Source organism: Homo sapiens, chromosome 15, assembly GCF_000001405.40.
Source record: "Homo sapiens chromosome 15, GRCh38.p14 Primary Assembly".
Classification (NCBI taxonomy): Eukaryota; Metazoa; Chordata; class Mammalia; order Primates; family Hominidae; genus Homo; species Homo sapiens.
In genome coordinates this window covers 35,703,698-35,716,034 of record NC_000015.10, presented here as the reverse complement: position 1 = coordinate 35,716,034, position 12,337 = coordinate 35,703,698, and the positions used below count along the sequence as shown (strand labels likewise).

At 38.2% G+C, this 12,337-nt stretch overlaps 1 long non-coding RNA gene across 1 annotated transcript in view; it reads right to left on the bottom strand.

The window, feature by feature from the left end:
- DPH6-DT (DPH6 divergent transcript) overlaps window positions 1–12,337 on the bottom strand; it is a 312,807-nt gene that overhangs the window by 142,967 nt on the left and 157,503 nt on the right. The window contains exon 2 of the long non-coding RNA NR_038251.1: window positions 4,146–4,328. This is a non-coding gene — a long non-coding RNA (DPH6 divergent transcript). The remainder of the gene's footprint in view (window positions 1–4,145; window positions 4,329–12,337) is intronic.

The window sequence follows — 12,337 nt, the reverse complement described above, 5'->3', positions numbered from 1 at the left end:
TACCAAAACAGGCATATAGATCAATGGAACAGAACAGAGGCCTCAGAAATAACACCACACATCTACAACCATCTGATCTTTGACAAACCTGACAGAAACAAGCGATGGGGAAAAGATTCCCTATTTAATAAATGGTGTTGGGAAAACTGGCTAGCCATATGCAGAAAACTGAAACTGGACCCCTTCCTTATACCTTATACAAAAATTAACTCACGATGGATTAAAGACTTAAATGTAAAACCCAAAACCATAAATATCCTAGAAGACAACCTAGGCAATACCATTCAGGACATAGGCATGGGCAAAGACTTCTTGACGAAAGCACCAAAAGCAATTGCAACAAAAGCCAAAAATGACAAGTGGGATCTAATTAAACTAAAGAGCTTCTGCACAGCAAAAGAAACTAGCATCAGAGTGAACAGACAACCCACTGAATGGGAGAAAATTTTTGCAATCTACCCATCTGACAAAGGTCCAATATCCAGAACCTACAAGGAACTTAAACAAATTTACAAGAAAAAAACAACCCCATCAAAAAGTGGGCAAAGGATATGGACAGACACTTCTTGGAAGAAAACATTTATGCGGCCAAGAAACATATGAAAAAGAGGTCATCATCACTGATCATTAGAGAAATGCAAATCAAAACCACAATGAGATACCATCTCACACCAGTCAGAATGGTGATTATTAAAAAGTCAAGAAAAATAGATGCTGGTGAGGCTGTGAAGAAATAGAAATGCTTTTGCACTGTTGATGGGAATGTAGATTGGTTCAACCATTGTGGAGGACAGTGTGGTGATTCCTCAGGGATCTAGAATCAGAAATACCATTTGATCCAGCAATCCCATTACTGAGTATATACCCAAAGGAATATAAATCATTCTACTATAAAGACACATGTATGTTTATTGCAGCACTATTTACGATAGCAAAGACATGGAACCAACCCAGACCATCAATGATAGACTGAGAAAAAGAAAATGTGGTACATATACACCATGGAATACTATGCAGCCATAAAAAAGAATGAGATCATGTCCTTTGCAGGAACATGGATGAAGCTGGACGCCATCATCCTCAGCAAACTAACATAGGAACAGAAAACCAAACACCACATGTTGTCACTCATAAGTGGGAGTTGAACAATGAGAACACATGGACACAGGGAGGGGAACAACACACACTGGGGCCTGTCAGGGGGTGGGGAGCAAGGGGAGGGATAGCATTAGGACAATTACCTAATGCATGCAGGGCTTAAAACCTAGACGACGAGTTGATAGGTAAAGCAAACCACCATGGCATGTGTATACCTATGTAACATACCTGCATGTTCTGCACATGTATCCCAGAACTTAAAGTAAAATTTTTTTGAAAAGTAGCATTTAAAAAAAAAAGAAATATTTCTTTCCCTTCTCATTATACCTCTTTCTTGTACCCAACTTTTAAAAAGTGAAATCTTAATAGTATCTGAAAGTTAGAAAGTAGGTAAAGTGAAGGAATAAAAACAAGGGGGGAAGGAAAGGAGGGAGGGAGGGAGAGAAGGAAAGAAACTTAGCATAGTCCCTTTCACTACCATAAACTTCTTTTTTTTTTCCTTTCTTTTTTTTTTAGACAGAGTATTGCTCTGTTGCCCAGGCTGGAGTGCAGTGGCTGTAATCTCTGCCCATTGCAACCCCTGCCTCCCTGGTTCAAGTGATTCTCCTGCCTCAGCTTCCTGAGTAGCTGGGACTACAGGTGCGCACCACCACACCAGTTAATTTTTGTATTTTTAGTAGAGACAGGGTTTTGCCATGTTGGCCAGGCTGGTCTTGAAGTCCTGACCTCAGGTGAGCCACCCACTTCAGCTTCCCAAAGTGCTGGGATTACAGGCATGAACCACCACACCCGGCACCTACCATAAATTTCTAAATATGGGTCAAGCCTGAACTGCTGAGCCACAGTGGGGAAGGGAGAAATCTGAGATTGGATGAGAGATTAAAATTTTGATCTTAGGCTCAAGTGGATTTAAAATATCTTTTAAAGAGGCGGGTAGACTATTGTTCAGCAATGACTCACTCCCCTTTAACTCTGGAGGAGTATGCTGCCCTGCTTATTTAAGCATTGGGTTGGAGGTGAGTATGTGAACATTCCAAGCCCAGGCCTGCAGTTGAAAGCATGAGTGTTTTCTGACACCCTCCGGGAATTCCTGACTTCACTAAGAGAAGAACATGCCCCAGAAAGTCTGCCTCTCTAGCTGGGACCTCATAATGAGACAAATGGAGTAGAGCTATATCTTAGTCAGTTTGGGCTGCAATAACAAAATATCTTAGACTGGGTGGTTTATAAACAATGGAAATTTATTTCTCACTTTTCTAGAGGATTGAAATCTGGGATCAGGGTGCCCTTATAATCAAGGCCCTCTTCCAGGTGGCAAACTGTCATCTTCTCATTGTATCCTCACATGGGCAAAAGAGGGTGAGCTCTCTAGGGTCCCCTTTACTCATTCATGAAGGCGCCACCTTCATGACCTACTTGCCTCCCAAAGGCCTCACCTCTTAATAGCACCACATTGAAGGTTAGGCTTTCAACATATGAATGGGGGAGGGGTGACACATTCAGTCCCTTGCAAACTACTACAGGCAACTGAACAACTGCAGCCTGATGCAGAGCCACTCAGCTGAACCACTTGCCCATGAGCATGAGAAACAAAGCTTATTGCCTGAGTGTGAGGATGGATGTTGTACATCATTATTGTAGCAATAGCTGACTGAAATCAATAGTAATACATTCACATAGATTAAAAGTCAAGGAGACTGAAAAGATATTCAGTGAAAAGTTTCCCTCCCTCTACAGTTATTCGAGCCAACAACTCCTTCCCATCAGCAAATATTTGTATTACTTCCTTGGTGATATTCCAAGTGATATTTAATGCACACATAATTAAATATGAATATATACGCTTTCCCTTTTATTACATATAGTTTATGGTATTCACTCTCCTGCTCTTTTTCCCCCTTAACATTTTGTGTCAATATATAAAGAACATCATTTCTTGTCACAACATGGTGTCCATTATATTAATGTATGGATGTTAGTTTCTAATACAGTACCTGAAAAGGATCAAAACAAGTTAGGAGATCTGTCCAATATATTGTCCAGAGGTAGTCATGGAGAAATGATGGGATGTGATTGAAAAGCTATATCAGCAGAGGATAAAATTGTTTCCTGCCTTGAACCCTACTGAGCCTAGACCATTCAATAAGCCGATTGTTGGGATTGAAAGTTAATACATATAAGTCACTTAGAAAAGTGTCTGGCATATAGTAAGTGCTCGGTATATATTTAGTATTATAATTACCATTTTCATAATCTGCACCCTTCCTTCTCAGATTCACCCCAATCAATATATTGAAACCTCTGAGGTGGCATAATTTGCCTCCTTGGATCCCCCCACCGACTCAATTTTTTTTATAGTTCTTATTCCCCTTGACTTCTCTGCAACATTGAAAATGATTTTCCCCTCTTTCCCCTCTGTCCAGCTTTGGCTGAACTGACCTTGCACTATCAAAGTTTCAAGGGCTCTTCTTCCACCCCCTCTGAGAACTGCTATGCTGTGTCCTCATCCCTTCTCATTGTCTATGTTTCACATTGGAACAGCACCATATAGATTTTGGAGTCAGAGAGACTGGTTCAAATCTGAGTGATATGTTAATTCTTATGCAGTCTGGGACCTTGCTGAGCATCATTTTTTTCTAATACATAAAATGGAAGGAATTACACATAGTCCACAAGATTTTTGTGAGGTTTAAATGACATAACATAGATAATGTGCGTAGCACATAGTAGCTTCACAATAAATGTTCTCTCGCTTAACTGCAATTTTTTTAATCCTCCCTTTCCTTACTGAGTTTTTGTCATTTCCATGGTTTCACAAGCTATCTCTAAGTAAGCGATCCCGACATCTCTATGTATCACCTCATCCCTATTTTACAGACAAGTAAACAAAGTCTCACCTTTTCCTGTGTCCACGGACCTGTTAGACATCACAAATAAATGTCATTGGCCTCTCCATTGCAACAGATCCAAACCAGTCTTTCTTCGCCACTGATTCCCAATTTTTCTGACCCCTTGTCCCTCTCATTTCTGTGAATGATGCTACTTACCCATTCTTCAAACCTCACAGCCCTCTTCAATTCTTTCCTCTCCCATTGCTCATCTTTCCATTCATTTGCCAAGCCCATACCTTCACAATGATTCTTACAAAATAAAAGGTCTTCAGAGCTGGGAGAAATTTTCATGATCACATAGGAAACCATCTCCATTCCAGAGATGAAGCAAACTGAGACCTGTAGGAATAAGGGGAGGTTTAATTGGAAGAGTGTTTGGACCAACATCTAAGTCGTCTGACATGCAGGACAGTGGTCTTTCTGTGACACCTCACTGATAGACTTATTTCTCAACATTTCTGCTGCCTCCACTGTGGTGCAAGCCATCACTATGCCTGTTCCTTTATGACAGCAGCCTTCTACCTCTCCTCCTGGCCTCCATTCATCTACCCTTCCTGACTAATCTCACGACAGCACAGCTCTTCCGCCATTAGGCAGGAGTATGGTGTCTGCTCTGGTGCCCACAGTGTAGACCTACAGGACTATTTTTCATGCTTGGCCTTTTATGTAATCACCTTCATGGCTTCAGTCATATTCATATTCACATACATTTTAACATTTATGTAATAGTTTTCTCAACTGAGCTTCACACGGACTCATTTTTTTTCTACTTCATTCTTAGCAATCATCATCTGTGAAATCATGAGTTGGGTTCACTAGTGTATTTGTGAATGTATGTTGAAATATATATTACCATTAAAATTAAAAGATACCTTCCTGTTTGTCACCTAAAAGCATGTCAAAGACCACATTACGGAGACACTAAATCAGCAAATAAGTGAATATTCAAGGATGACAGTATTTGGGGTGAAGAAAATTTTCAAACAATTAGAATATTCTGAAAATGAGGTACTACGTTTCACTAGAGATACGCAAACCAAGATTGGTCAATAAGGGATGTTGTAGAGGAAACATATCCAATAGAAACTTAGCTTATCTTGAAGGTTTTGACTAACCCTCAGAGTCCAGTAGTTTTTAGTTTGCTACTATCAGATTAATGTTTTGTAGAATCCATTTTAACTCACCTTTCTTCCATGAAAAAAGCTGTAGTTGCTTCCTATTGTCTTCTAAATAAAGTATGTTATGAAATGAGTGACTCACTTCTTCCTTTTAACTTACTAAAGTTTCTAGTAAATAAAACCTGCTTGTTTATTTCATCGACTTCTTTTAACTTTCACTCCTCCAGGCATTAATTTTAGTTTCCCTCCAGAAAAAAGACACTTTCAACCCCAAGTCTAAGGTTATTCCCTAAGTGGGAACTCCATTGGAACTAATAGAAGGCATGAGTGTTTTAATTCTTTTGGAGTTATGAACATTTACCTCATACTAGATCACAGAATAAAGCCTGGGGTACTCTCATTCTTTAATTTCTATTCTGTTTTTGCTTCCCATTTCTTTTAAAAATAACAACTTCAACATTCTCAAAAAAGTGAGAAGACTCTAGACTACTAATCTCTCTCTCTTTCTGAAGAAGAGAATTTATAGCTTTTAATGGTTGTGAAAACCAGGAAATAATAGAGAAATCATGCATTCTGCAGGAATTCTCCTGAGTGTATTAAATTAAACTGACAGCGTTGATATCGCTATTCATGTTGAAATAATTAGCAATTCTAAGGCTATTAATGGTGTATTGTATCACTGTTTTAGAATTGGTAGGATGAATGCAAAAACCTTTTGGTGACTTTTGCTCCTACTAAAATTTAATTAGCCTTAGTTACTGACCTCATGTTTTATGTAACAGTACACTCCAAAATGATCTCATAAAGAATTGAAGTTTTGGAAGAAAGTCATTCTTGCTTTAAAAACTAGCATCACATAAAAGTTCTCTGAGTGTTTTTTAACTACTTTTGCAAAGTATTCTTATAATTGCTAACATTACCTATGGGACTGACTGACTTTGAATTTAATTGAAGTAAAAATGCGTCTCTTTGACAAGGTCACTTTTTAAAGTAGAGCTGCACTACTTTGCATTACGGTTCTGATTTTTTTCATTCTAAATTAACTATGATGTATAAAATTATCGATAAAGAATAATACCTTGGCCATCAAATATTAATAATGATTACAAGAGAGGAAAACTACCTTTAATGCACATAAAATTTATGGTTGGTAATGATCTCTACTAAATCTGCAAGACTGGGTCTGTACAGTGAAGAGCAGGCAATGTAATAGGGCTCAATGGAAGGATCTAATTCAGATCTTGCTCCATAAGAGATTTGAGACTATGAAGTCTACCCTAGCTGAAATTAAACCAACCCTTAAAAACAAAACAAAACATGAAGTACCACAAATGGTATGGTAGTGGTGGTGTCATTGAGGGTAGATGAGAAGTTAGCCCACCAAGAATTCTATGTGGCTTATTTGGAGTTTTTTAAAAATACCTTATGATTGCATGTTGCTCTGAAAGCACATTATGGTAATGACTATTTTGTATTACTAGCTAATCATTTTGACAATTTCATAGATATTGGACTTTCTGCTCCTTCAGAAAGTTGCTACAAAATGTACCCTCCCAATTCCAAGAAAAAGGAAAAGTATGTTCTAATCTTCCTTCTGGTAGGTCAGTTGGTCCAGAAGCTTAGACTAAACTTCCTTCTGATTCATACTGGGCAAATGATGCACAAGAGCTCAATATGTTCAGAGTGCAATGTTTGAGCTACATGTGGTTCTTTAAGACTTATTTCAGGATACAAGTTTATTAAGCTAGGAGATGCAGGGCATATAGTAGTGGTGGGGCTCTCTTTGTTCACAGTATTTGCAAAAATCAATTAAGGCAGGGATGGTATTCCAAGATGATTCACAAACTGTGACCATTGCAGCATTAGCTTTAAGGAATGAAGGAAGCAGCCTGGTAGGTTAGAAAGAGCATCAGACCAAGAGGTAAAAGAAAAAAACAAACAAAATACTGGTTTTGAGATTCAGCAAAGTGCAAGATGCAAACAAGAACAAATCAGCAAATTCCTATGAGCTTTAGTTTCCTCAGTCATAACATGAAGTTAATATATATTGACTCCCAAATCAAGTGAGTTAATAGGTATAAAATATATTTGAAATCCCAGGAGCTATACATATATAAGTTGCTGTTATTACTAAAGGTAACTCAATTTTACCATGTAAGACCATGTTCATCATGTAGGACTCCCTGAACCAGGACATGTGGCCTACACAGACATACCATTCTGGTTCTATCCCATCTCCACACAGAAGACAGAGTTGTAAGAATTCTCTATGTAGCCAAGTAATTTATTGTGCCCATGATTTATATCATATTACAATCAATCAACAAACTAATGTTGACTACCTGCTCTGTGTGGAATGGCATGTTAAGCCTTGTGGAATTTCAAAAAAATTAATGAAAAAAGATATATCATTGAATTAAAAGTACTGAGCAGACACACGAACAAGATAAAGAATGCTTAGAAAAAATATCAAGTCAAAGGAAGCTATCTAGGTGTTCGTAGATTACTAAACCGTATCAATAAAGGAGGTGTTGTTGAGGAAGAAACTTGTTAAAAGGTCCTAGACCTAGAGTAGCAGAGTACAAGGGGTAAAGATATTTTCAGGGAAAAATAATGGTATGGTACAGCAAGAACCTATTTCATGGCTTCCTTCACTGGCCTGTTTAGTCTTGCAGTCATATATTCTCCCCTTGCTTCTCCTCCAGACATCTGTTCAATAAATAACTATAGCTTTAGTACTGCAGAGATCAAATATATATATATATATATGTGTGTGTGTGTGTGTGTGTGTGTGTGTGTGTATATATATATGTGTGTGTGTGTATATATATATATATATATATATATATCTGCTTTCTAGAAGCATAAGTCCTAAAATAAAATTAAAGCAAAAATGGACTCTTATTAGAAAGATTTTAGAATCTTCCACATATGCACATCCAATAAGAGAGGGCTTCCTGGAAAAGATGGATTTTTATGTAGAGAGTTTAAAAGGACACATATGTGCATTCCTAGCTGTTCCTTTTTCTTTGCAGAGGTAGAGCAAGGTTTTCTTTTTTCTTTTTATTATAGATACAACAGTACAGCACTAGAGTCTGAGAATGTGAGTGTTACATGCAGTGAGACTTGCTGAGTGACCTTAGGCAAGTCACTTACCGAGCCAAGTCTCAGTTCTTCCACTCAAAATAAGAATTTCATATGTTCTTCATATAGCACATTGAATTCTCGTGAGGGAAAAAAGATGAATTCATAAAGATGAATTATTTGCTGCTGTTAAGATTCTCTTTAAAAAATTCAAAATATTTGTAAGAAAACTTTTCACCCTTTGAGTACAAAATTTTCACAACACTTACTCTTTTCTATATTAACTGGAACTGAGCCATGAGAAAGTCCACTATGGATGGTGACAGGCTGAAAATGAGACTCAGCCCTTGAGAAACAGAAGACTCTGTCCCTGAGACATGCAATGCAATCCAACGAAGGAGAGGAGGATTACTCCACCTCATCGTGGAGGACTGCTCTTCAGCTTTTATTGAAAATTTTCTACATCCTCTACTAATTATTCCTAAATGTACATATAAATTAGCCACTCAACAAGAATATTTAAAATTGCCTTCCAGGCTGGTCATGGTGGTTCAGCCTGTAATCTGCACACTTTGGGAGGCTGAGGCGGGCGGATCACTTGAGGCCGGGAGTTCGAGACCAGCCTGGCCAATATGGCAAAATTCCGACTTCACTAAAAGTACAAAAATTGGCCAGGCATGGTGGCACATGCCTGTAATCCCAGCTACTCAGGAAGCTGAGGCAGGAGAATTGCTTGCACCCAGGAGGCAGAGGTTGCAGTGAGCGGATATCGTGTCACTGCATTCCAGCCTGGGTGACAGGGTAAGACAGCCTAAAAAGTAAATAAATAAAAATAAATAAAATAAAATTGCCTTCCAATTATATTTCTGGACTTTAGCCTCTCAAACTGTTCAAGAAGAACAAATAGAATTCCTTCAAAGAAAAACTAACTTCTCTGAGGTCTTTCCCATAGACTGATCAGGAAAGGTGACTTCTTTAATGAAAGTATAATGTCATACAGTGTAGCCCAAGAAAATGTGGAAGAAGTTATCTGATCTGGAGGCCTACTTTTTTAAAAAGTAACATGTGACTAGAAAATCATGAAGACTCAATATCCTCAACAATTCTACATGAGTTTTCAAAAATCAAAATTTACCTGTCATCAATGTGATAGAATGGAAGAAATGCTATTTTTTATTTTCTCACATGAATTTTAGATAACAACTTGAAAATGGATTCTTGAATTGACAGTGCCAGTAGTCAAATCCCATCTTCTAACCTCATCCCCAAACAAGGTCAGGGAAAGCTCTTGAAAGTGGCTTATTTTACATCATAGCCTCAGGTTAAGCCAAAATAATCCAGGAGGAGGAAAACAACAACCATAACAACAAAAAAATTCCCACAGTGAGCTACACACCCCAGATGCCCAGACTTTCCGTGGGATCTTAAATGAGGGTCAGAGGTCAGTGCTAAGGAGCCTGGTGAAACAGTGAGAACCAAGATCCTGTTTCCATTTTAATGCCCTTATGTTTATGTTTTGCGTTCTGCAGGGGAAAGGCCCAGACATTTCCACTTCCAGAGAGGCCAGAGAAAACTGCACTCGATATAGTAGTTTGACAGAAAAACAGGGATGTTTCATGGGGCTAAGGGTAATCTCAGTTCAAAAAATACAGAACTACCAAAAAGCACAGTTAGCTGAAAGTTCACATCCAATGCTGGCCTAAAATTAAAGTACCTTATGAAAATAAAGGCCATTGTTTTCAATCTGCTCCTTCACCTCTCCACCCACACACCTCCAGAGAAGGCTGCTTGTGTTTAAATTTAGCAGCAATGTGAGTTACATAATTGTCATGCGCCAGCTCAGTGTCCCAGTCTCCCAATTTGTCATGCCTGACCTTCCTATCACACTCTGATAAACTTCATGCTATTACAGCTGCTTATTTTGTTTATGTTAGAGACTGAAATGATAGTTTATCATTCATTTAACTTTACCTACTTTCTTGGCCACTTACTTCAGTAAAAACTTGTTTTTCTTTCTACAGAAAAATTTTCTTCCGTGGGTAAAATGCTGGACCCTCTCCCACTAACCCTTAAAGTGCCATCTCTTTCTCAGCTTCTGAACCTTTGGTGACCTTGGAAACTAGATTCAAATCAATGCTTCATGTAGTTCCTGAGCTTATCACTTTTAGATAACTTTAACTTCTGGTTTCCAGGCCAGGCCTCACTGGAAATCCTGAAACAACATAAGCATGTTCATTCTGGAGGGAAGTCCAGAGGGGATCAGAAATGCCACAGTCTCTTCTATCCTGACCTTACCAAAGGTCTAATTGGTACTGGCTGGAATTCAGGAGGAGTGAGCTTCCCTAACCATCTTGTGGCTGAACAGATGAGAGAAAATGACAGGACAGCCTCTCCCAAAAGAGACAAGGAATGTGGTTATTTGGTCTAGGTCTACTACTAAAAATGAAAGAAGTCACAGGCCCTAATGGTTAACAATTGCTCATAAAGTTTACTTTTACTGTGTGCCAAGTCCACACAAGCCCTAAGATGGGCCCTTTATGTGGATCAGCTCCTTGAACCCCTCCACCAGTTCTATAAGGACTAGTTATTACTGTTGTTAGCTACTGTTATTCTCCCCATTTTATGGATGAGAAAACTGAGCCTTAGGGTGATTAATCTTAAAGTTAAAAAACCAGAAATGGCTAGAGGCAGGTTTCAAACCCAGTCTGACTTCAAAGCCAGCCGTCTTTGAAGTTCTCCTCACTATGACATTCTCTGTCACAATATGACCAGGTGCCAGAATCACTTGAGGAATGCTGATCCCCATTTCCTCCACCTTCTCTACCACTTCCCAACAAGATTCTATTTCCGAAGGCAGGTTGGGTTGCAAGCATCTACACATTAAAAAACAAGTAGCCTGCCCAGGTGGTTCCAATACAAATCAGAGTTGGAACAACTGACTACTATAGATAATAATGTAGGTCAATAGATTTTGTGAACTCTGAAGCACTCTATGAATGCTTTTACAATCAATAGGTTCCTTGTGGCAGAGACTTCATGTTACAGATCTTTGCATTATTTTTTCCCCACTCACTCATTGAACAAATATATTCCAGGAACAGCAAAGGCCTTTCGTAAACATCAGAAAAGGTCTCTGGAGGCAACAGATCTGAAAGACAAGCTCTGTGATTGCATATGATAATGTGCACACAGTGGGCATTCAAGCAGCAACTACTGAATTGTTGAAGAATGGTAGGATATGAGGGATATAACAAATGGAATATTTGTATGTATTGCTTTGCTTTAACCTTTTAATTGTTGTTTGGGTCAGACATGATCTTTGAGAATCACCCTTTTGGTGAGCTGCTACACAAAAAGACCTTCTACTCTGCATTGACTCTGTCAGCACTATTACCCCAACCTCCTTTCTTTTAAATACTAAACACCTATTTTCTATTGGTTTGGTGCACAAACATAATGCTTCCTGCTCTTCAGTGAGGAAGATACGTTCAATTTTCTTTTATCGTACTGGTGATGAGTTTATACTCTTCACCCATACTTTTTGTGGGCCATTAAAATTCATGAAAAGTGATATTTCAGTTGGCTGTGTCCCTAAGTTCTCAAATTCCAGTTTGGTTTACCTCTAGTTTCCTGGTAGCCATACATCAAGCATTTCTGTTATAGTAGCCAAAAAAGCAAACAAAGAAACAAGATGTGTGTTTGTAATCCTAAAGGCATGGTTTGTACACTTAGAAATTTTTTACAAATTTTGTAAAATTTTTCTCTTTTTCTATGTTTGGTCTTTGTTTCTATGCCTGATAAACAGGAAGTGCCCCAGCAGCAGTCAGCAGTTATAAATTAATTCAGACTTTCAGACATGTAAACTGTTTCTACCAAAAATAAAAGTATATCCTATAAATTAACATATCTCAGAGTATATACTTGAGGTGATCCAAAATATATTCTTTCATCAGACAAAATCTCAATTTAGTGATCAGCTCTATTAACTCATTTTCATACCATCCTAGATTCATTTTTTTCCTAAAATGATTTTAAATATATACACATAATAATTATCTTCTTAAAATGAAACAAACAAGATTCCAATCTTCTTCCCAACCCCCCAACTCCACCCTACAAGTTGCTTCTCTTTTAAAATATAACTGA